This window comes from Homo sapiens, chromosome 1 (assembly GCF_000001405.40).
Source record: "Homo sapiens chromosome 1, GRCh38.p14 Primary Assembly".
In the NCBI taxonomy this organism is placed as follows: domain Eukaryota; kingdom Metazoa; phylum Chordata; class Mammalia; order Primates; family Hominidae; genus Homo; species Homo sapiens.
The window spans coordinates 220168993-220195410 of record NC_000001.11 but is presented as its reverse complement, the minus strand read 5'-3'; the positions used below and the strand labels follow the sequence as shown (position 1 = coordinate 220195410).

At 37.1% G+C, this 26418-nt stretch overlaps 1 protein-coding gene across 1 annotated transcript in view; it reads left to right on the top strand.

Moving 5' to 3' along the window:
* Positions 1-26418, top strand: part of RAB3GAP2 (RAB3 GTPase activating non-catalytic protein subunit 2) — a 124161-nt gene that overhangs the window by 77043 nt on the left and 20700 nt on the right. The window contains exons 11-24 of the mRNA NM_012414.4: positions 34-113; positions 244-333; positions 2032-2171; positions 4127-4343; positions 4891-5034; positions 5265-5347; positions 5644-5708; positions 9670-9760; positions 11248-11375; positions 12480-12693; positions 13057-13154; positions 22669-22774; positions 23362-23522; positions 24291-24519. Coding sequence (NP_036546.2) covers positions 34-113; positions 244-333; positions 2032-2171; positions 4127-4343; positions 4891-5034; positions 5265-5347; positions 5644-5708; positions 9670-9760; positions 11248-11375; positions 12480-12693; positions 13057-13154; positions 22669-22774; positions 23362-23522; positions 24291-24519 — 1846 coding nt within the window. The remainder of the gene's footprint in view (positions 1-33; positions 114-243; positions 334-2031; positions 2172-4126; positions 4344-4890; positions 5035-5264; positions 5348-5643; positions 5709-9669; positions 9761-11247; positions 11376-12479; positions 12694-13056; positions 13155-22668; positions 22775-23361; positions 23523-24290; positions 24520-26418) is intronic.

Below are 26418 nucleotides of genomic sequence, written 5' to 3'. Positions count from 1 at the left end.
TAAGTTTTCTCTTTCAAATGTTCTGTTTTTCAGGGAAGCACACAACCATTATTATCCCATGTTGCACTAGCAGTTGCAAGTAAACTCACTTCTGCTTTATTTAATGCTGCCAGGTAATTACTTAACAATTAAAATAACAAATATCTCATTTGTATCTAGCTTGCTTTTAACTTATATTTTGATAGTTTGCACTTTAAAACCCTGGAAGCTCAGTTTTATATTCTAAGTTTTCTTTCTTTTCAGTGGTTGGCTTGGTTGGAAAAGTAAGCACGAAGAAGAAGCTGTCCAAAAGCAAAAGCCGAAGGTTGAGCCAGCTACCCCATTAGCTGTAAGGCAAGTCTGTCATGCTTCCCAAATTTTAGTCCTTTTAGAAAGGTACTGTTAAATGTATGGTCTTTCCGTGTGCTTGGTTGATTTGCTGATCTTGTCTTTGGAACTTCTGAAAGCCATTACAGTGGAATTTCTTTTCCCACTAGAATGTAAAACTCCATGTGAAGAGTGATTCTTACCTGTTTTGTTCACAGCTTTATCCCTGTTATATACTAGGTATTCAAGATGTATTTCTTGAGTGTGCTTTTTAACAAATAAACTTAGCTTAGTTGTAGGAGAATTAATTCAGTGATAGCTGTTAAATTTCTTTTAAAAGTTTAGATAGTTTGTTACTAAGTTGTATAAACTTTAAAAGTACTTAGTGATTTCTTTTTAAAAAAGTCATCCTAGTGGATTGCGGTGGCTCACGCCTGTAATCCTAGCACTTTGGGAGGCCTAGGTAGGCGGATCACTTGAGGTCAGGAGTTTGACACCAGCCTGCTCAACATGGTGAAACCTTGTCTCTACTAAAAATACAAAAATTAGTCAGGCATGATGGCATGTGCCTGTAATCCCAGCTACTCCGGTGGCTGAGGCAGGAGAATTGCTCAAACCCGGGAGGCAGAGGTTGCAGTGAGCCGATATTGCACTGTTGCACTCCAGAGTGGGGGACAAGAGCGAAAAACTCCATCTCAAAAAAAAAAAGTAAAAGCAGGAGTCCTGTATTCAGGCACTCTTTAAACAGACTCCTGTCCTGTGCTTCCTTGTTTACTTCAGTAGTGCTTTAGAATGTGTTAGTATATTGGTGAGTTTTTTTTGGTGGAGGGAGCATGATTTTTGTTGCTTTTTTTTTTCATTATTATTTTTTAGATAGGAGCATGTTTTCTAATGTTTGGTTTTGTTTTAAAATCATTTTTTATTACCTAATATAAAGTACCACCATGAAGGGAAATAGAACACCTCCTCTTTATGGATGTTCTTCACCTAAGAAGAGCCAACTAATTATTAAAATTTATCGAAGTATAGCTTCTAAGTTTTTTTTCATCTTTTTAAAAAATACATTGTAACATATCACATTTCCTAATATCAAGAGTCAATAAATTAGTCACATGGCCCTGTGCGTCTCTAATAGATGTAACAAAGGTTGGGCACCTTTGTTTCAGGGACTTTTCTCTAAATGAGCTTTCCTAGTTCTCTTTTAGTACTTCTTTACTTTTATTTTACTCACAATTCTAATGAGGTTGATTATAGAACAACAGAAGTTTAGAGATAACTATTTAGAAAAAGGAAGGTTTTTGCTTCAGGCAGATTGGTGTCAGCAGGATGTCATATCTTGCAAAAAAGAGAAAGATTAAGAAGAAGAATTTAAAATAGACAAAAGATGCCTGTGTGGGAGCATATTCTAAAATTTAGTTGATGGTGAGGACATTGTTTTCTGTGACATGCCTTTTAATCAAATATAGTTATACTTTATATTCTCTAAAGGTATAGGGTTGTGGGTATCTATTGAAAACCTACATAGGACTGTGGTTTTATTTCTTTTATGTATTTTATATTACAAATGTCAGTTGTGATTAATAAATTAACTATTAATCCAGGTAAAATTCATATTTCTTTATATAAAAACAGATTCAGCCTATTTCATTTATGCATTTCGTTATTCTGTTATATGTTTCTGAACTGGAATGTGATTTGAGCATTTTATTTTCTTTTAAATATCAGATTTGGACTTCCAGATTCTAGACGCCATGGTGAAAGCATATGTCTGTCTCCATGTAACACACTGGCAGCAGTAACAGATGATTTCGGCAGAGTTATTTTATTGGATGTAGCTAGAGGAATTGCAATACGCATGTGGAAAGGTACTTCTTACAAAAATCCAGAAAAACAATTAATTCACTTTTTACCCCAATAGTTGAGCAATGTTATCATCCTTCAGCTTCTGGATGATAACTCTGTTTAATTCTTCATGTTTACATTTTCTTTTTTTGACATGAACTCAGATCAGCAACCACTTGGTCCAGTAGTCAGTTGATACATCTTTTAGGTTTGATCACCTCATAGCCATGTTTAACCTTTGCCTTTTGCACTTTCTTTCAATTCTCACTGTTATTGTCAATTTCTGAGTTCAGTTTCTTGCCCCTGCTACATTTATTCCCCTTCACAAAGCCATTCTTGAGCCAAATGTTCTCCCCAAATCTATAATGCCAAGTCTTTCAGATTTAAGATAGCAAAACCCATCTTCACTGACTTGACTTTTATATCCATATGCTTGGGTCAATCCACCTGGTGTGTCAATAAGTATGTCACTTAGGAGTTTCCTTCAGCTATTATTAACAGACCTGAGTAACAGACCACAGTATCTTCAGGAACCCAGTCTTCTTCCTTGTAGCTTCCCCACTCAAGGTTCTCATAGACAGCCCTCTTATCTGCATTCCGGGAAGGAAGCAGAAAGGAAGAAGGCTTCTCCTGGCAACTGAGTCAATCTACTTTGAAGATATTCCCCGAAGTCCCTTCAACCATTATCTACATTAGCCAGGACTTAGTGACATGGCCTCATCTAACTATAAGGGAGACTTGAAAATATCTTTTAACTAGGCACATTGTGAATAATATCTCCCTGACTAAGAAAGAAGGGATGATTACATTATTTAGAATCATCTGGAATAGTAACATGTCAGCATAGACCACAATTTATGGTGCAATCTTGTCTATCCTGTAAAATGTGAGGAATAATGAATGGATTGAGGTCATTCAATTACTCTGGACCAGATTGAAGCCACTATCACCTTCTTGCCAAAGAACTCCTGCAGTGATAGACAGAGGCAGTCTTTACCTACTACATGTCTCAGTATCTGTAGAAATAGTTTTAATACTGCAGATACATCATTTCTCCTTGGTGTTTGTCTTCTGAAACAATATCAAAGGTATGTTCTCAGCAAGACTTTTCTAAAATACGAAGACGAAGCTGTACTGACTGCTCCAAATCCACTATGGCAATCTTATTCCTTGCATCATTGCCTGTCTGCAGCTAGTACAGCCAGTTTTTCTTTCCATTGTGTCCTTGGAAAGAAGGATCAATTGCCTATGTGAGGGACCACCCTAAAATGGAAAATAGCATCAGCTACGTCTCCCATGCAAGAGCTTCCTCCCATCGTCCTGTAACCCATATTTTCTATCTGCATGTCACCAAAAGGCTTGTGTGGGAAGGGAAGGGAATGAGAGCAGGAGGGGTAATCAGGTGGCTTCAATTATATCTATAATCTTTTCTCTTTTTTTTTTTTTTAGAGAGTTTCGCTCTTGTTGCCCAGGCTGGAGTTCAATGGTGCGATCTGGGCTCACTGCAACCTCCACCTCCTGGGTTCAACTGATTCTCCTGCCTCAGCCTCCCAAGTAGCTGGGATTACAGGCATGCGCCGCCATGCCTAGCTAATTTTTTGTATTTAGTAGAGACAGGGTCTTACCACGTTGGTCAGGCTGGTCTCGAACTCCTGACCTCAGGTGATCCACCCGCCTCAGCTTCCCAAAGTGCTGGAATTACAGGCATGACCCACTGTGCCCAGCCAATATTTTCTTTTTAAAGAGAAAAAGTGGTCAGAAGTAAATATAGCAAAATAGTAAGATTTGATAAGGCTGGGTGATAGACTGGTTATTATTTATTATCATTTTTTATTTAAGATATTCCATAATAAAAAATATACTTTTATAGCTTTTCTTACCCCACCCCCACCCCCACCCCCACTATTCCAGAGTACTTCAGGAGGCTACTATGGAACCTAGATTAAGTAATTAACTTCCCTTTACCTCTGTCTCTAAGGGTACCGCGACGCACAAATTGGATGGATTCAAACTGTAGAGGACCTCCATGAAAGAGTGCCAGAAAAGGCAGATTTTTCCCCCTTTGGAAATTCTCAGGGTCCAAGTCGAGTAGCTCAATTCCTTGTGATCTATGCGCCAAGAAGGGGAATTTTAGAAGTGTGGAGCACACAGCAGGGACCTAGAGTAGGAGCTTTCAATGTGGGGAAGCACTGCAGGTAAGCTGCAAATGCTGGCATTGTGCTGGTTACAAAATGAAATATAGGAATGCTTTTATTAAAATAAAGCTTTACTAAAGCTGCTTATTAGATTACAAGTTTGAGAATTACAATATTCTTTATTGTGGTTTTTCCTGTGAGTGCCTGGCATGTACTTAAGTATTTAATAACAAAAAAAAAAAATTAAAAATGCCATGATAGACTGCTGAATTAAAGTTAGCTTGTTGCTAATGTTTGTCCCTTACTTATGCTGGGAAGGCTCAAAAGGAAAGGTTCCTTTTGCCCTAGTCATAAGTGAGGTGAATGCTTTGTTTGCCATTGAAACAGGGGCCTGATTGTGTTCATTTAATTTTTTAGAATCTTTCAACAAGGCAGAACTCTGCTGGTTGAGCCCTGCTTTACTTATGTACTTGCTATCAGTATTTAGTTGCCTTATTAATGCTCCTAAATTGATAATAATGTTGGGTTTCCTAGCTATAATAAAAGCACCTTTTGGCATTTCTCCTTGTTCTAATATTTTTACCATATTGGTATGTGATTTCTTTAGGCTGCTGTATCCTGGCTATAAAATAATGGGTTTAAATAATGTTACCAGTCAGAGTTGGCAGCCACAGACTTATCAGATCTGTCTGGTTGATCCAGTGTCTGGAAGTGTGAAAACAGTGAACGTTCCCTTCCATTTAGCACTGAGGTAAGGTGTGTCCAGTGTTGCTGATTGACGCTCCTCTGCTAACTTTTCCTAGTTCCTAGGTTTGTTGTACTCTCTTTTGTAGTTGCTATTTTGTTGTTTCCTTTGTCTTTAGACTGATATCTTTAAAGTTAAATAGGAAATATATAAAGGAAAAAAAAGTTGGAGTGTGTCAGAATTAGAAAGAAAATAATTTCACATTCTGTAATAATTTGTTATATTTATTGGTTTAGTGATAAGAAGAGTGAACGAGCCAAGGATATGCACCTAGTGAAGAAACTAGCAGCCTTACTGAAAACAAAATCTCCCAATCTTGGTAGGTATTCTCTCATACAAATAATAAAGCATATTGTTCTATCATCTTTTAAATCAATAAAATATTCTGAATGGAGCAATCAAAATAATGCATGGATGAGCTTATTGGAATTGCTCTGTAAGGCTGAAGTGTGCCATCTAGAGGGTGTTATAATTCATAACAAGAAAACATTAATGTGAGAGAACCCAAAAATCCTTTAGACTCACTGATAGTACAGATATGTTCATTTTCTTTCAGAATAATGTTTCACTGTTATAAAAATTAAAATTTTACTTTGATTATTTTTTTCTTTATAGATTTGGTTGAAACAGAAATAAAGGAATTAATTCTTGATATTAAATACCCTGCAACCAAAAAACAAGTAAGTGTATATAATACACGAACTTTCCTGCTAGTAGCTATAATACATCCTTCTTAAGAAAATCTTTATTTTCCTATTTCCCCCAAACATGAGAGGCTGAAGTCTTCTTTTCACATTTTTATTGTTTATCCCTTTCTTTATTTTCAGATAGAAGTTCCTGTTGTCTCTTTAAAAAAAAAAAAAAAAATTAATATTCATGCCTGTAACTGTAATCCTAGCACTTTGGGAGGCCGAGGCAGGGGGATCATGAGGTCAGTAGTTCGAGACCAGCCTGGCCAACATGGTGAAACCCCGTCTCTACTAAAAATACAAAAAAATTAGTTGGGTCAGTATTGGCGGGCGCCTGTAATCCCAGCTACTCAGGAGCTGAGGCAGGAGAATCATTTGAACCTGGGAGGCGGAGGTTGCAGTGAGCTGAGATTGCACCATTGTACTCCAGCCTGGGTTGCCATACATCTGAGTGTGTTTTATATACACATACCTACACATCCCTACATTATATATATTATATATATAAAATAGTAAATATGTGTGTATGACCACCTACCTTAGGAAATAAAATCTTACCAGGAACTCTAAAGAGCCCTGAGTGTCCCCCCTCAGTCCCATTCCCTTCTCCCATCCCTAAGGTAACTGTAATTTAGAATTTTGTGGTTCTTTCTTTTTCTTTACTTTATAGTTACGTCATTCCTGTGTGGCTCCTTTGAAACCTGTTGATGCATTTCCTGCCTTTTCAAACTTTATATAAATGCAGTCATGCCCTATGTCTTCTGTGACTTTAGTTTTTCCTTCAGGATTATGTTTCTGTGTCATTCATATTGGTGTATGTAGTTATAGTTATAATTGATTCATTTACTATGCCATACAAATTCTGCTCACTGACTAGAATTTATTTACACTCCTGTCAGTGAACGGTTAGGTTGTTTCCAGATTTTTGACATTACAAATGATGCTATGCTTATCCATGTACATATTTCCTCATTCACATATGCAAGAGTCTCTCTGGCGTTTATACCTAAGAGTGGAATTGCTAGGGTGTGAGCTTCTTCAACTGTACTAGTTGATGGCAAATTGTTTCCCAAAATAGTTGTACTAATTTATATTCCCACCTGTTCTGTATGAGTCCCTGTTACTCCACAGCCTCAATATTCCATGGTATTGCCAGACCTTTACTTTTTGCCAGGCTCGTGGTTATAATATGGTCACCACTGGTGATTTCTTTTACTCCCACTCCTCCTATCCAAACCCCTCATAATGCTATTCAAGTCCTAACTCCACAAATTCTTACATAATGCTTCGATCCCCATGGATAACTCTGAACTCCTACTCTACTTTCAATCAAAACTGGATAGTTAATGACTACTTATTTTCTAATTATTTCATGTATGTTAATCATAGCTTCCCCGACTTTTTTTTCTTTAGGTCTTTTAAGCTCCTTCAAGTAGGAACCTTACCAAATACTTGATTTTTATAATTCACAGCATCTAAAATAATGCTACTGTGAAAATGTAAGAAAAAACTGTATCACAGGTTTTTTCTTTTCTCTTACACAGTCACTCGACACTTCTGCCACTAGATGTAGGGTTTTTTTTTTTTTTCCCACACACCAGTCAATTTCTTTGGCAGATTCTCCAGCTAACACCAGCTGGTTATTCTCTAATTCAGTTCGATTCTGACACCATCTACCTGGAGATAGCATGAGATCATCACGACAGGTTAAGAGCTCAGTCCCACAAGACTTCTACCTACTTCAGGTACCAGTCACAAGTAGTTGGTTGTCAGCTATATTTCTGACTGTCTAGCTATAAATTAGGGTTACTATGACCCCCTCTTTGCGGTTGATGAATTTGCTAGACCAGCTCACAGAACTCAGGGAAACGTTTTACTTGAACGTTTACCCATTTATTATAAAGGATATTACAGAGGGTAGAGATCAACAGCCAAGTGGAAGAGGTGCATAGAGTAAATCATATGGGAAGGGTTGCAGAGCTTCCATTCCCTCTCCTGGCAAGCCACTATTCAGGAACCTCTACACGTTCAGCTATCCAGAAGCTCTTCCAACCCTTGTCCTTTTGGGTGTTGATGGAAGCTTCATTATATAAGCATGATTGATTACATCATTGGCCATTGGTGATCAACTCAGTCTTCCAGCTCCTCTTGGCTCCCCAGAGGTCAGGGGTTGGGCTAAAAGTTTCAATCCTCAAATACATGGTTGGTTCCACTGGTAACCACCCCCTTATTCTGAAGCTCTCCAGGAGCCTGCCATGAGTGGCCTCATTAGAAAAAAAGAAGCTTCTATCACCCAGGAAATTACAGAGGTCTTAGAAGCTCCCCATCAGAAATGGGGGGTCAAAGACCAAATGTTAGAACAAAAGGTTCTCCTAGCACCTCTGTCTACAAAGGGATTAAGAGCTCTGACTGATGAACTAGGACAGAGACCAAACACTAGAACAAAAGAAACTCCTAGCACCCCCATTGTTCAAGAAATTATAGGAACTCTGTGTCAGGTACTGGGGCCATAGACCAATATGTATATTTCTTATTATTTTATAGCTACATACATGGGAGAATTCAGTGAATAGTGATACATGGGAGAATTTAGTGAATAGTGATTTCTGTTGCAGTCCGTTTTTAAAACACTTTATTGAGTTATTGTAGAACAGAAAAGCCTTTGTGACTTTTAATTGTGTCTTCCATTCTACTGACAATGCTAATTGGCTCTCATTTTGCTCAGGGTAAAGTCTCTGTTATTAGAGATGACATGATGATGACAAAGTGGGCATCTAGAGAGGCATATTGAGAAATCTGTAGTAGAAAGGGTCATAACCCACACGGTTCTTCTCATTTTTATGCCATCTTTCTTCTTATCCTAAATCATAGAACAACAAAATTGGGAAACCAGCATAATGCAAAATGTCTTCTTGATTTTCTTTTTTTTAATGGTACTTCTGAATCATGTATGAAGCTGTGAATTTTATAAAGAATGCTAGAAAACCCAGTAACAAAAGTTATAGGTCTTCTAGGACTGACTAAAGGGAAGGAAGAAACCAGTTCAGGCTTTGGGAGACTGTTGAATAATGGGGAAGAAAACAAGCTAGCTGCTAGCCTGGGTAATCATAGGCAGAACTGGAGCAGGTTATGCTTGTCCTGGGTTCTGGCCTCTTACAGTCACTTTCTTTATTGTTTCCTGGTAGTTACTTCATTATAGGCCTGACCAACATCTTGAGCCACCCTCTAAGCCCATTTCTCCTCCACAAACACGCAGAGGTTATTGTGTTATGATCGGATATTTGTCTTATCCCACATTCTCAGCCTACTTTTTGAACTATTTAATCTCATTAATTAAAACCCAACTTAATGTGCTAATATGAAAGGATAAATATGACCTTTAACTTCTGATAGTTGCTACTTTAGGCATGAAGAGATATTTTGGGACTGGTTATGAAGAATCTTAAATATCTATGGGGGTGGGGAGAGGGAGGTAGGGAAGGGTGGGTACTGTATTCATCTAGCAGGGCCTATAGATTCTGCCTGCCATGCACAAATGCAATAATTAAGGTATAACTAAGTTTTTGGCAGCTTTTGTTATTGACATGACAATAACCTCTGCTTTTCGTTTATGCCTATATAGTATAGGCATATTCAAACTCTTCTTATTGGTAAATAGCTTTATCTTTGTTTCTGTTTTGATTTGGCTATTCTGTTAAGTAGCAGTTGCCTTCTAGTTGTTTTATTCTCAGCCTGGATTTTTGTCATTTATGTCATATTTGGCATGACATGAAGTTGATTGTATATTACTTAACAACGCAACTTGAGATTTAATATATGTACACTAAAACATCTTAAATATAGAGCTTCCCTTTGAAATTTGGGGTAGTGAAAGTTTGGGCATAAATATAAGATTTAAAAAACAAAATCACTGCCTTATAATTACTAGAACTGTTCAATATCTTTCTCCTAGGCTTTGGAAAGCATTTTGGCAAGTGAACGTTTACCATTTTCTTGCCTTAGAAACATCACTCAGACTTTAATGGACACTTTAAAAAGTCAAGGTAATAGGGTTTGTACTGATTGGAGGTTATGTTCTTAACTCAAATTTTGTAACTCTGATTATAGAAAGCTATTGACTTTGTGATACCATCATGTTACTTTAATGTGGAAGTAATATAGATATAAGAAATTAAGAATCTTATTTATTCCCTATTTAATATATGTAGTTGATCTTCATCTAAGCTGTCTTTGAATGTATTGACTGTTATTGGGAAGTTGTTTTTAATTGTGAGGAAAGATGTCAGGATAGAATGATAAGTGGTTATTCTGATATAGCTTTGTATTAATGTTCTATCAGTGTATCAGTTTCCCTCGTGAACAGAGTTAAGGACTTCCAGAATCACAATCAACAATCAGATTATTATTTCTGAATTTTCTGGTCATTTTTTGATATTCAAAATTTGTCTGTACTATCACATTGTTCTTTAAAATCCATCAGTCCGTCAAAATGTATTTGTCTGAAAAAGGATTACACTTGAAACTTGAAACTGTGGGGTTGTAACACCATATTCCATCCAACTGAACTAGTAAAAATTCACTTTATTCTGAATTCCTAACATCAGTTAAATTGTGTGCAGTGGACTGATGTCATCTAGTTGTGACTTTTGTTTGTCATATTAATTATGTAAAACCAGCTTTGTGTTTTAGTTGTGTGTAAGACAGCTTAAAGTGGCTTAATACACAAATTATAATTTGTTCTTTCAGGACTTCAAACATGCTAATTTTGAGACTCTTTTTCAACCTTTTTTTTTTAACAGATACATAAAACTGACATTGGCAAATAGTGAACTCCTTTAGCATACACCACTTGTCAGAAATAAATCCCTCTTTTAAAAAGCGTGGTATACTTACAAAGCCCTCCCACCCCTCAAGGCATTCACAACATCCCAAAATTTATTAAATGAAAAGTTATCTTCCACTGGCCTGGTAGTAAACCAAACACCATTGTTGGAATTCCATAAAATCATCAGTTTCAAGTTCTACATAAACATAAGATTCCTAAAAACTTTAATCATTTTGTGTGGTCAGTTTTATTATGGCTATAAGAACTTGAACAATATTCCATGATACTGTATTTCAAATAAGATTTTGAGGGGATTATCAGTGTCTCCCTTTTTAAAGAATAAATATTTCTTTTATATTAGATATAAATATTCATACAGTATATGAATTATGTAGTCAGGGAAAATATTTTCAAAGGTATTTCCAGATAATTTCTTTAAATTTTAAGTATTAGATGAAGATATTTCCGCTTCCTTTTTTATCTCCCTACTTTTAGAGCATCTTATTTTATTTAAAAAGTTAGACATTTTGTCATGACAGAAAAATTATTTTTGCTTTCAAAACCTGGTATAGCTTAAGCATCTCAGTATTTAATACATCAGAGCATCAGGGAATTACATAATATTGAGAGATTTAATGAAAGCAAAGCCTGTTTATGAGTCTGTTAAATATATCTCTTATATATACTTTTCCTTCTGCCTTTTAGAACTTGAGTCTGTTGATGAAGGATTGCTACAGTTTTGTGCCAATAAACTAAAACTGCTGCAACTCTATGAGTCTGTCAGTCAATTAAATTCCCTTGATTTTCATTTAGACACACCATTCTCTGATAATGTGAGTAATCCCACATTTTATATTATATAAAATAATCTCTTTGATTAGTTTTACTTTTTAAAATTAGTAGTAAAGAAGTAGAAAATTAAGAATTTTTTTTAAAGCTTTAAAGGTATATTTTCCTTACCAAGCCCCCTGCTAGCTCTCTGTGCTTTGCTGCTATATTTATATTATTTATACAAGTGCTGAGATTATAGGCATAAGCCACTATGCCCAGCCATGATATGTTTTTGTACATATAGTATATAAAAATAGTTTGAAAGCCTAGCAGGTTGTATCCCTGAGAGCCACATACAGGACTTATATGTAGATACAATGAGAATATTTTTCTATGTTTTTATTTTATAGTGTTTACGCTGCTTTATAATTAAGCATTTAAGTTCAATATTTAGTTTCCTCAGAATAGTAAGAGTTGCGTTTGACACCCTTTTAAATTTTTTTCTGATTATACAGTAATACATGTTTATTAAAATTCTAGCATTTGCCAAGGCATAGTGGCTTGCACCTGTAACCTTAACACTTTGGGAAGCTGAGGTGCGAGGATCACTTGAGCCCAGGAGTTCGAGAGCAGCCTGGGCAACATAGTGGGACCCTGCCTCTACAAAAAAAAAAATTTTTAATTAGCTGGATGTGGTGGTGCACACTTGTGGTCCCGGCTACTCAGGTGGCTGAGGCAGGAGGATTGCTTGAGCCCAAGAAGTCAAGGCTGCAGTGAACCATGATTGTGCCAAGGCACTCTAGCCTGGGTAACAAAGTGAGACCCTGTCTCAAAAAAAAAAAAAAAATGCTAACATTCTAGAAGATAATAAAGTACCCTCAAGAAATATCCTAAAATGGTACTTTTAATACCATTTCTTTTAGTACCTACCTCTAGTACCATGTTTGGTTTGGTACCAAACATGCAGTGTTTCAAAATTATAGTTTACTTTATTTAAATAACTTCCTACTCATGAAACGTGATTTGTAAGTAAAGTTTTAAGCAGAATACATGATAGGTATTATATTAATTAAAAAGTCGACTTTTGCTTACAGCCTTGAATTTCAGTTCAGATAATGTGGGTGATAGATGTGGAATGTTGTTTTGTTTTGTTTTCTGTTTTAAAGGACTTGGCTCTGTTACTAAGGCTTGATGAAAAAGAACTGCTTAAGCTCCAGGCATTACTAGAGAAATATAAGCAAGAGAACACCAGGACAAATGTTCGATTTTCTGATGATAAAGATGGTGTGTTGCCTGTAAAAACATTCTTGGAATATTTAGAATATGAAAAGGATGTGCTCAACATAAAGAAAATAAGTGAAGAGGAATATGTGGCTTTAGGTAGGTAAAATAATACACTGGTCTTTGTATGCCTCTTCTTTTAGAAGAAAACATGGTAGGAACATATAGCATCTCAGAGATTCCATTTGTTTTGAAATTTAAATAATGAAAGGATTTAATGTACTGTATTTTTTGGCCAACAAAAGATACTCTGGTCAACAGGTTGTATTAATGAGTATACTAAAGAGACAATATTGGATCATGATTTGCTTTCTGCTTTAATAAATCAAGCAAATTGAACAATTAATTTCTCTTCCTTCATAATGTTTTGTTTCTCTGGAATTCCAGATTGTGATTCAATAAGATTGTTAGTCCAAATGGTAAGTAGTCATTGATTAATGTGCTTTGTTTTTCTTCTACCAGGTAGTTTCTTTTTTTGGAAGTGTTTGCATGGAGAAAGCTCCACTGAGGATATGTGTCACACTTTGGAGTCGGCTGGTCTTAGCCCTCAGCTGTTGTTGGTAAGGTTTTTTTGGTTGCTGGATGCTGTTCTTCCTTGTGAATGTCACCCAGAAGTGTCAGTCTTCTTTTTTTTTTTAACTATTGTCTTTTAGGATATCACAGAATGTCCATGAAAACTTTCTAAAAATGATCAAAGAAAATTTTAATCACCATATTTAATAGAAGTAATATTATTTATTTTTCTTATACCCTGTAATTTTTTTTTTCTTTTACTTTGAGAGAGAGAGAGAGTCTTGCTCTGTCACCCAGGCTGGAGTATAGTGGTGTGATCATCGCTCACTGTGGCCCCAACCTCCTGGGCTCAAGCCATCCTCCCATCTCAGCCTCCTGAGTAGCTGAGACTACTGGGCAATTTTTTTTTTTACTTTTGTGGAGATGGGGGTCTCGCTATGTTGCCCAGCTTGTCTCAAACTCCTGGCCTGAAGCAATCCTCCCCGCATGACCGCTCAAAGCTTTTGGATTACAGACAAGAACCACCATGCCTGGCCAATTTTCTGTAAATGTTAACAAGCATATCGTATAGTTGGCCTAAAATAAGTTTAGAATCTGTGTGCACCCATCTATATGCGTGCATTTACAGTGGAATTGGATCATCAGTAAAAAACTGTCATGTTACAATGAAAAATATCTTAAAAACAAAATAAGCTTCCCATAAAGCAATGTGGAATTGTTACCAAACATTTTCAGACTTTGAATATATATTATAATGTAATCTCTAATATAACAAATATAAAACAAAAGAATCATCCAAGGAGGAAATACAACACTAAATTTTTACCCTTTCTGAAAAAAACAAGGAAAGTTACCCCATCTTCCTTGTTCTTCTTTGTTATTACCTATCCCCTACACATGCATGCATACACAGTTGTCCCTCAGCACCCATGGAAGATTGGTTCCAGGAACCTCCCCCTCCATTACCAAAACCATGGATACAGAAGGTCCTGATAAAAAATGGTGTAATAAAAAATTAGCCAGGCATGGTGGCATGTCCCTGTATTCCCAGCTACTCAAGAGGCTGAGGCATGAGGATCCCTTGAATCAGGGAGATCAAGGATGTGCTGATTGCACCTCTGCACTCCAGCCTAGGTGATAGAGTGAGACCCTGTCTCTAAAAAGCAAAAAAGTTAAAATGGTGTGGTATTTGCATGTAACCTATGCACATCTCCTGTATACCTTAAATCATATCTAGGTTACTTATAATACTTTCTGCAATGTAAATGTGTAAATTGTTAAAACTGTACCGTTGAGGGAATAATGACAAGAAAAAAGCCTGTACATGTTCAGTATAGATGGAACCGTCCATCTTTTTTTTTCTGAATATTTTTGACTCACAGTTGATTAAATCCACAGATGTGGAATGCATGGATACAGAGGGCCAACTGCATACTCTTTCACACACCCCCATTTACATGTTATATTTTGGCCAGGATTTGGGCATCCTACCTCTGTGAGCTTGTTGATGGTTTAATGTGTTGTTTTTATTATGTATGTGTCTGGTTTTGGTATCTGGGTAATGTTGGCCTCATAGAATGAGTTTGGAAGTATTCCCTCCTCTCCAATGTTGTGAAATAGTTTGAGTATAATTGATATTAGTTCTTCTTTGAATGTTTGAAAGAATTCAGCAGGAAATTCATCAGATCTGGGCTTTTCTGTGATGGGAGACTTTTTATGACTGCTTCCATCTCGTTACCCATTACTGGTTTGTTGAGGTTTTCTGTTTCTCTACTGCTGTTGGCATAAAGCTGTTCATAATAGTCTCTAATGATCCTTTGTATTTCTATGGTATCAATTGTAATGTTTTCTTTTTTGTCTCTGATTTTATTTATTTGAGTCTTTTCTCTTTGCTTCTTAGTCTAACTAAAGGTTTGTTGATTTTGTTTATCTTTTTTAATAAAAACAACTTTTTTTGTTGATCTTGTGTAATTTTTTTATTCTCAATTTCATTTATTTCTGCTTGATCTTTATTACTTCTTTTACTAATTTTTAGGTTGGTTCTTGCTTTTCTAGTTTCTTGAGGTGCATTGTTAGATTGTTTATTTGGAGTCTTTTTATTGAGGTGTTTATTACTATAGACTTCCCTCTTTTCTTTTTTTTTGAGACGTAGTCTCACTCTGTCACCAGGCTGGAGTGCAGTGGTGCGATCTCGGCTCACTGCAACTTCCGCCTCCTGGGTTCAAGCGATTCTCCTGCCTCAGCCTCCTGAGTAGCTGGGACTACAGGCATGCGCCACCACACCCAGCTAATTTTTGTATTTTTAGTAGAGACGGGGTTTCACAATGTTGGCCAGGATGGTCTCGATCTCTTGACCTCGTGATCTGCCTGTCTCGGCCTCCCAAAGTGCTGGGATTACAGGCGTGAGCCACCGCACCCGGCCGACTTCCCTCTTAGCACTCCTTTTGCTGCATCCCATTGTTCTAGTATGTTGTATTTCCATTTTTATTTTTTCAAGAAATTTTTAAATTTTATTTTTAGTTGCTTCCTTGCCTCATTGGTTGTTCAGTAGCATGTCGTTTAATATCTGTATTTGTGCAGTTTCCAAAGTTCCTCTTGTTACTGATCTCTACTTTTATTCTGTTGTCAGATAAATACTTCACATGATTTTGACTTTTTAAAATTTGTTGAGAATTGTTTTGTGGCTAACATATGGTCTGTCCTGGAGAATGTTTTATGTGCTGATGAAAAGAATGTGTATTCTGCAGCAGCAAGTGAAATGTTCTATAAATGTCTATTAGGTCCATATGGTCTAGTATGTAGTTTAACTCTGATCTTTCTTTATTGATGTTCTACCTGGAAGATCTGTCCATTCCTGAAAGTGAGGTTGAAGACCTCTGTTATTACTGTATTGAAGTCTGTCTCTCCCTTTAGATCTATTAATATTTGCTTTATATATTTGAGTGCTCCATTGTTGGGTGCATATATACTTACTATTGTTAGATCCTCTTGCTGAATTGACTCTTTTTTCATTGTATAATTACCATCTTTGTCTTCTTTTTTTTTTTTTTTTTTTTTTTGAGACAGTCTCACTGTCGCCCAGGCGGGAGTGCAGTGTCATGATCTCGGCTCACTGCAACCTCTACCTCCCAGGTTCAAGTTATTCTCCTGCCTCAGCCTCCCCTTTGTCTCTTTTTATAATTTTCAACTTAAAGTCTATTCTGTCTGATATAGGTACAGCTTCTCCTGCTCTTTTTTGGTTTTCATTTTTATGGAATATCTTTTTCCATTCCCTCACTTTCAGTCTATGTTAGCCTTTATAGGTGAAGTGAGTTTCTTGTATGCAGTATACACTTTTATGTTGTTGAGTCACTCTATGTCTTTTTTTTATTATTATTATTCCTGGGCCTAAGCTATTATCTCCTCTCAGCCTTCCAGTCAGCCAGGACTATAGGTGCATATCACTGTGCCCAGCTCACTCTGTGTCTTTTAATTGGAGAATTTAGCCCACTTACATTCAGTGTTATTATTGATTGGTAAGGTCCTACTACTGCCATTTTGTTACTTGTTTATTAGTTGCTGTGTAACTCCTCTCTTTTTTCTGTCTTTTTTTTTATAGTTAAGTGATTTTCTCTTGTAGTATGTTTCAATTCGCTACTTTTGATTTTTGTGTATCTATTGTAGGCTTTGCACTGTGATTACCATGAGGCTTACAAAAAAAATCTAGTTACAACAAGTATTTAAAACTGATACCAGCTTAACTTTGATCACAAAACAGCAAAACCAACAAACCATAAAAAGAAAACCTATACGCATTAACTCTCTTCTCCCCCCATTTTAGCATTTTTGATGTCATCATTTTATGTTATTGTCTCTTAACAAATTGTCAGTTTTTTGATAGTTTTTTCTTTTAGTCTTCTTACTAAAGATATATGTGGTTTAAGCACCGTGATTAGAATATTAGTATGACAATCACATTAGCATCATTTTCTTTCAGTTTGGAGAACTCCCTTTAGTGTCTAAGAAATCACACATTTCTTATAGGATAGGTCTGATAGCAGTAAATTCCCTCAGCTTTCGTTTGTCTCGGGAAATCTTTTATTTCCCTTTTTCATTTCTAAGGAATAACTTTGCCACGTACAGTATTTTTAGGTGGCAGTTTTTTTCCTTTAACACTCTGAACATACTGCCCCACTCCCTCTTGGCCTGTAAGGTTTCTGCTGAGAAATCTGCTACCAAGCATATTGGATCTATCTTATATGTTATTTGCTTCTATTCTCCTGCTGTTTTCTAAATTCTCTCTTTGTCTTTGACCCTTATGAGTTTGTAAATTGGAGTATTCTTGTCTGAGTTAACTCGGATTGGTGACCCTTGACCTTCCTGTACCTGTATATTCTGGTTTGGAAAGTTTTCTGTTATTACTTATTTGAGTAAACGTTCTACTCCTTTGTCTTTCTCAGTTCTCTCTTTAACTCCAGTAACCCCAATATTTGCTCTTTTGATGTTGTTTTATAGATCCTATAGACCTTGTTCATTCCTTTTCATTCATTTCATTTCTTTCTTCTCCTCTGACTATGTATTTTTAAATAGTCTATCAACGAATTCACTGATTCTTTCTTCTGTTTGATCAATTCTGCTATTGATGCTCTATATTGCATTTTTAATTTTATTTATTTTTCAGCTCCGAGGTTTCTATTTGATTTTTTTCATTAGTATTTCAACCTTTTAAAAATTTCTCTGATAAATTTTTGAATAGATTGTGTGGGTTTTCTTAAAGTTTGTTGAGCTTCCATTTTGAATTCTTTGTCTGAGAGATCACACATCTCCCTCACTTTAGATTCTGTCTCTGGTGCCTTTCTTTGTCCATTTGGTGAGGTCGTGTTTCCCTGAATGTTCTCGATGCTTGTGGTAGTACGATGGTATTGTGCATTGATATATTAGGTATGTACTTTAGTCTTCACAGTCTGGCTTTGTTTGTACTTGACCTTCCTCAGAGGGCCTTCCAGGGATTCTAAGCTGACTGACTTTCATGTTCCCTGAGCTTGTGACCACTGCAACACTTGACATCACTCTAAGCCCAGGCTTGCTGCAGGTCTCTCAAGAGCTCTGAAGTTTATGTGGCTTTCTATCCTTCATGGACTGGGGGAAGACCCAAGGAGGGTACTGAGGCTATTTGGGAATACTGGCCAGGGACCTGGGTCCAGAAGTCTGTCCTGGTGGCCCCGACAGGTATGCATCCCAGCAGGTGTCTGCACAGGTGGATGGGTCCCCAGCTGCAGTTAGAGGGGGTAGAAGTGAGACTGGACCTCTTTAGGATCTGTGTGAAAAGGAGGCTGGGGGGCCTGTTTTGTTGGCTCAGATGGTTATGTGTCGCCCAGCAGGTTCCTGCACAAGTGAGGTAATTCCTCAACTGCAACAGGAGGGGCTTGAGCTGAGACTGGGCCCTCTTGGGATCAGCTGTGGGAATGGAGGCTGGTGTGTCTCATGTTGGCTCAGAGAGGCATGTGTCTTCAGCAAGTTCCTGCACAGATAGGATAGTTCTCCAGCTGCAGTGAGGGGGCCCTGAGGGGGATCTGCTGTGAGATAGAGGTTGGTGAGCCTGTCAGGGAGGCTCTGAGTCCTGGGCTGAGAGATATGGGTGAGTCTGCCTCTGGGTCCTTATGCAAGCAACTCTGAGCTGGGACCTCAGCTAAGGAAGGTGAGAGCAGCACCACAAGGCTACTTTCCAGCCCACTGCTGAGACCAGTGCTAGCGGGCAGACTAGCCTTTCTGCCAAAACACTAGTGTGTACAGTTCTTTCTGGACCCCATGGCAAATGGTTTTGGTGGCAGGATCATGGGCAAACAGGGAAGTAGCCAAGCCCCTTGTGGGGACTGGGCTGTTTCTGGGCTTCAATCTGGAAGTCAGTTCAGGGGGACAGATCAACCACCTTATTGTGAGAGAATATAAGTAGGTTGCCTTCTATTCCGCCATCTTGGTGACCTCAAGGTTTCTGTTACTCAAAATCTATTATTTAGACATCATCTGGTTATATGTCAATATATAACATATTTATATGTGAGATAACAGTTAATATTTTAATATGTGAATTCATAATATAAATATATTATGAATAATGTAATGTGGCATTCTTTGTTGTGACTGTTAGAATATCTTATTTTGTATTTACTAGTTATGGAGGTAGTTACCTTTATACACTAGACTCTTCTCCTGTTATATGTGTCCATATATGTGTTTCTATGTGGTAACTTAATTTATCTCTGTATTCACTTCTTTATTTTTCTTCTTTCATCTTAATGTTTCCTGCAATTTAAAATATCTATATTGCTTATAAGTGATTCTACAATTATATGATTATGTTCTGATAGTTTCTTTGGCATCCTCTATTTTATACTGATCTCCTATATACAAACAAAAGCTTGACTGTTTGGAAGTTTTAATGTTTATAGAAAACAGGAAAAACACACTCTAGGTTATAAACAGAGACTACCTGTAGGGTGGGAAATAGAAGGAGGTAACCTAGGGAGAAATAAGAAGCAAAGTTAAGCAGAGCAGGTTTTTTGTTTGTTTCAGAATTTTATTACAAGTGATGGTGGGTAGAGGAGAGGTTGGTTGGAGAGAAAAGTGGAATTCATAGTGTGAAGAGAGGTCCAAGGCATGGCATTTAATTTTTTTGGCTGCCTTAATATAAAATAAACTTCTGGCTGCCAATTTTGATGAGCATTTTGAAACTTTGTTGTTGATGGGGAAATGAACCAAGCTTTAAGAGACATTAAATCTATAGGTATGTTTAGAAATCTGGTATTCCGGCCGGGCGCAGTGGCTCACGCCTGTAATCCCAGCACTTTGGGAGGCCAAGGCGGGCGAATCACGAGGTCAGGAGTTCGAGACCAGCCTGGCCAACATAGTGAAACCCGTCTCTACCTAAAAATACAAAAATTAGCCGGGCATGGTGGCTCGCGCCTGTAGTCCAAGCTACTTGAGAGGCTGAGGCACTTTGAACCTGGGAGGCGGAGGCTGTCGTGAGCCAAGATCGCGCCACTGCACTCCAACCTAAATAACAGAGTGAGACTCTGTCTCAAAAAAAAAAGAAAAGAAAAGAAAAGAAATCTGATGCACTTTAATAACAGGCCCAGGTCAGACATTTTGTATGTAAAATTTATCAAAGTGAATCTAGTGGCAATTTAACAGTGAGCCTAAAATATAAGATAAATTCTGCTCTCCCCCAACATTTCTTTTTGATTTGCTTCCCAGTATACATGCACATAAAACAGCGAGACAGAGTTATTTTTGATTGAGTATAGAATGTCTTTGTTAACTGTATAGGCAACCAATTTTTTCAGCCTACCTAGTGGTGAAAAGCATCAGGTTATGGAGGTTAAGGGGAAGTCTAGAAGAGAGGAAATTCCCCTGATAAATAAACTAAGGTCATTCTGAATTTTGTTGGTTAAACAGGATATTGGGTTGCAAGTGGAAGGAACATGGTGTAATTATGATCCCATTGTTGTGACAGTGACTCCCCCTTATCCTCCCTCAAAAGTACGATATATGTATCTATACATATAAAGCTGTTAATGGCTTGGAGCATAGTAACCTTTATGTAGCCATTAGCATTTATTGTTGTTAACATTGTCATTATTTATGAGCATGGAAGATATATTTGTTTTTTAAAAAAGGTTTCTAATGGGTACAAAAAATAGAATAAGACCTTCTATTTGATAGCACAACAGGGTGACTATAGTCAATAATAACTGTGCATCTTAAAATAGCTTAAAGAATGTAATTGGATTGTTTGCAACTCAATGGGTAAATGCTTGATGGGATGGACACTCCATTCTTCATGATGTGCTTATTTCATGTTGCATGCCTGTATCAAAACATATCAAGTACCACATACAAATATACACCTACCTACTATGTACCCACAAAAAGTTTTTTAAAGGGTGTCTATATGGGATGAGGTAAAAAGGGAGCTGGTATGAGGAGGCCCTTGGAAGGGAAATTAGACCAAAAAAGGAAAAAAAATAGAAGGCATTAAAGAGTGTGCGTGTATGTGTGTGTGTGTATATATGTGTGGTTTCGTAAGTGTAAAAATTAAGTGCATATATAAATTTATATGTACATGTATATATCCTCATACACATGTGAACATTTTTAAAGGGGGAGAAGAGAAAATACGCATGTTATTAATAGAATCAGGCAGGTTTATTTTCAAATTTTAGTTCTTTTTTTTAAATTTATTTGAGATCTGATAAACATGGATCCAATTTTAGTTCTTTTCTTTTCTTTTTTTTTTTTTTTTTTTGAGACAGAGTCTCGCTCTGTAGCCCAGGCCAGAGTTCAGTGGCATGATCTCAGCTCACTGCAACCTCCGCCTCCTGGGTTCAAGTGATTCTCCTGCCTCAGCCTCCCAAGTAGCTGGGACTATAGGCACCTGCCACCCCGCCCAGCTAATTTTTTGTATTTTTAGTAGAGATGGGGTTTCACCACGTTAGCCAGGATGGTCTCAATCTCCTGACCTCGTGATCCGCCCGCCTCGGCCTCCCAAAGTGCTGGGATTACAGGTGTGTCAATTTTAGTTCTAACTCATTAACTGTAGTGCTGGACATGTTAGCTTTCCCGTATGAGCTTATTTCATCATTTCTGAAATCTGGATCATCATCCCTGCCACAGAAGTTATTAGGATAAAAGGAGGTGATGTGCATGTCACGTACTTATCACAGCTCCTGGCCCTAAGTCGTCCTCATAAATTCACTTCTTTCATGTGCTTCTTCTCCTTCAACTCTTTACCCTCCTTAATTTTTGAAAACTATTTGAAATAATTCATTTAAACTAACAGTCAGTCTTTTAACTTAGAGCTATTTTTCACATAAAAGTATTGCAGTATTATAATTAATCAAGGCCTTTCAGAGATACCAGTACTTACAGATGTAACACCATTTCATTAAACTTCATTATCCCAGAATTATCTGTGAACCAATTTTATAAATCTTAAAAAAATTTCAGCTTCAAGTAGGTATGCTGGTTTACAGCCATTTTAAAAGTCACTTATGTTGACTTAAGTTTTTTGGTTTAAAGTCTGTTTTTTCATAACTTATTAGTGATTTAAAAATTGGAGTTTGATACTTTTATGTACTTGCTCCTCACTGCCACGTCTGCAATACCTTTGTACAGCCAAGGCAAGGCTAAGATCCACAGCTACAGATCCTACCTCTCTCTCCAGTCAAAACCTACAGCCAAGTGGCACCTCGTTCATCAACAGCAGATCTATGCTCACGTAGTAGTAACTCCTGTCTGGTAATATGCTCCTTAATAGAGATTTGGATTGGAAGGCAATGCTTAACCCAAAGAAGGTTTGGAAACAGTGAAGTTTAAATATACAACAGGTTATAGAGAATCTCCTAGGTAGACAAGGTACCTCATATTCCCTCTCAGATTACATGATACAGCAAGCAACCACTAATTTTTTCACCTCAAGAAGCTGCATCATCCATATGCATGCATCTGCTGTCTAGGAAAGTGTAAGATTTTGTCTATGCTAAATTTTTTTTTAGACTGAAAAAGATTTAAATTTGATTTCAGTCTCTGCTCCTGAGTGTTTGGCTTTCAAAGGAAAAGGATATTTTGGATAAACCACAGTCAATCTGCTGTCTTCATACCATGCTGTCCCTCCTGAGCAAGATGAAAGGTAAACAAAGTTTGTTGCTCTCGTCAACAAAGTTTCGTGTTTGAAATGTCACAAAAAGATGGGAGAGTGGATAGGATCCCTTAACAAAAGGAGTCTGTAGTGTACAAAACATTTCACCGTAGAGATTCTTTTATGTATTAATAGAATACTCTTAATGCATTTGACTTATGCTTTAATTTATGAAATTTTATATTTTGTATCATCATAAAAAAATAACATGATTTGAACAATACATCTTAACTCAGTAAGGCAAATGGAATGGTCTTCGGGGAAGGCAATGTTTTTCTTGTTATTTTTTGTATGATTATCAGAATATTAATCTGTTAAAATATTCAACAGTTTTCAGTAATGATGAAATATTCCAAATAAGGATTTATATTGATTCAGAACAAAGATGACTAAAAGATCATAAATAAATGGAATATAAATGTTCTGAATAAAATAGATTGTTAGACTTCCACTTCATTGAGAAATACAAAAACACATCAGTAGGTAACTTAGTTTTAACATTATGTTTAACATAAATGGTTAGTCCAAAAAATTGACAGGGTAAGAGTTTATTTTTCTGTTTTCTCCTATCCCTATAGTGGCCATCGATGAGACCTGGGATTCTCAGTCTGTGTCCCCATGGTGGCAGCAGATGCGCACAGCCTGTATTCAGTCTGAGAACAATGGAGCCGCTCTGTTGTCTGCGCATGTTGGGCATTCTGTTGCTGCACAGATATCAAACAACATGACAGAGAAAAAAGTAAGTGGGTAAAGGTATGGCTTTGATCTGTACACATCCAGTAGGCTAAGGGGATGCTTTCCTTTTCTGGGGTTTTTCGGGGGGTTTTTTGGAGCGGGGAGAGGGATGAGAGGTGCTCCCCTTAATTTCTTTATTGAGAATGATGCCGTGGATACTTGAATTTAGCAGTTGTCACATGGCAGTGTCCTACTGTGTTTTTTTCTCATCTCTTGAGGACTCACATTTCCTTTACAGCTCATGGTGGATCAAATAATTTTTTCCAGGGGGTGTTAACGTTAATTTGGATGAGACACCTAAATAGGTCTGTGGAGATTCACTTAACATTGTCAGCCACTGTTGTTTATAGGCTAAATTTAATATTGCCTGCTTGAAATGTTCATTATGATGGAGAGAGATGAAATTTCAGATTGTTTTTTAGGTTGAAGAGTGCATTCTGAAGAAATATAAGTATTTTGATGGTACTGATAGACAAAACTTGGCCCTTGCCAAAGATGGCCCAGAAAACTCTGAAATGTATACTGGTTGAGTCAGGGCCATTAGTGCAGGACTCCTTATAAATATCTGAACTCACCATCCTTGCCCATGAGTCTCCAATCTACTCCTGACCCTCATGTTTCATCCAGCCAAGTAGTAATATTTGTGAAATAGCATGTATGTGTTGCTTTGTGATGTATCCTCAGTATCCATCAGCTTTCAAGTTAAAAGCTCATTCAAGTTAATATTGATTCAGAATCTTTGGCAAAGAATCACCAGTGCATTTTTTATTAGTTTTCCCAAACAGTTTTGGGTGCTGATTCAGAGGCCCTCACTGATTCCTGGGAGGCACTTTCTCTTGACACTGAGTACTGGAAACTCCTTCTGAAACAGCTGGAGGATTGTCTCATACTTCAGACTCTGCTTCACAGCAAAGGGAACACTCAGACCTCCAAAGTGTCATCACTGCAGGCTGAGCCACTTCCAAGGCTTTCTGTTAAAAAGTTATTAGAAGGAGGAAAAGGTAAGCTGAAGTTTATTTGAGCATTTGCATCCATTTTTTTATGTTACGAGGGTTTCTTTTAATAGAAATGACGGAAAGAATAGAGAAAGAAAAATACACTCAGATTTAAAAATAACAATAACCTTCTATATACTACCTTTAAATTAATTTTCTCTAAAGTCTCATTTGGTCAGTTCCACGCTCAGGAACTGCTAGGTGCTTCCCTCTGCCTAAGAAAATTGGCAGTGATTCTCAAAGAGTGGTCAGAGGACCTCAGGAGTCCTCCTTTTTTCACCTACATGTCTATATGAGACCAGATTTTCCTCTTATACTTCAACCAAAACACAGAGCACAATAGATTGAATGGCAAAACTGATTGGAGAATCCAGATATAAACCAGGCATTACAGAGATTTGCAAATATGTAAAGTAGTGCCATATTTCTCACCAAATATCCTTTTTTTTTTTGCATTGGGAAATATAACTACTTTTTTATTATTATACTTTAAGTTATGGGATACATATGCAGAACGTGCAGGTTTGTTACATAGGTATACACGTGCCATGGTGGTTTGCTGCACCCATCAACCCATCATCGACATTAGGTATTTCTCCTAATGCTATCCCTTCCCTAGCCCCGCAATCCCCCACAGGCCCTGGTATGTGATGTTCCCCTCCCTGTGTCCATGTGTTCTCATTTTCAACTCCCACTTATGAGTGAGAACATGCGGTGTTTGGTTTTCTGTTCCTGTGTTAGTTTGCTGAGAATGACGGTTTCCAGCTTCATCTATGTCTCTGCAAAGGACATGAACTCATCTTTTTTATGGCTGCATAGTATTCCTTTGTGTATCTGTGCCACATTTTCTTTATCCAGTCTATCATTGATGGGCATTTGGGTTGGTTCCAAGTCTTTGCTATTATGAATAGTGCTGCAGTAAACATATGTGTGCATGTGTCTTTATAGAAGAATGATTTATAATCCTTCGGGTATATACCCAGTAATGGGATTGCTGGGTCAAATGTAATTATTTTCATAAAATATTAGCATGTAATCAGTTTATTTTCATTTCAAAATGGACTAATAAAATATTTTTTAATTTATCAGTTTTAATTTTTAGTACCATAAAGATTGACAGCCATAACTCATAAACCAAAGTTCTGTGGGGTTGCCAGTAATTTTAAGGGGATCATGAGACTAGTAAGTTCAAGAATTGCCTGAACAAAGCATAAACTCTTAAGCTTGCTCTCCAATAACTTTTGACTTTGAATCCAACTGATTTTTCTATTTCTTTCTCATTTGCTTCCTAGATTTTAGTTAAAATGAAGCATCCGTGTGCTTCCCGTCTTAGATCTGGACCTATCCTCTTCCCTTTCCCTGCCTCTCTCACTCATGGATATCGAAATCTTACTTATCTTTCAAGGTCCAGCTCAAATGCTTCTCCTCCAGGAAACCTTTCATGATTCACTAACTGCAAATTTTCTCTTCTTCCTCCTAATATCCACAGAACGTTATTCCTCTGTTGTGAAGCATCACTTTCTACTGTCCTGGAATCATTTGGGTTCCTGTGCTTATATCTTGCAGGAACATAAACATCTTACATTTTTAGTTGTCTTTGGGGGCTCACACTTTTTATCAGCAGCTCTTTTAGGCATTTGATACTGGAAGGACTGTATATGAGGTTTATAAATACCCACATGTTTATAGATTTTTAGTTTACTTCTTTTCTCATTCTTTATAAAACTTGTGAACTTTTTCTTATTGTAAACTCACCACACTTCATGTTGCCACCTAGTGAAAGGGTAAGGATGCCATTTGAATATTAACCTAAGCAATGGAATCAGGGGCTTAATTCTGGAATGAGAATTTTCCAATGATTTAGAAGCCAAACATAAGAAATTAGATCACCCAGCACACTGCTCA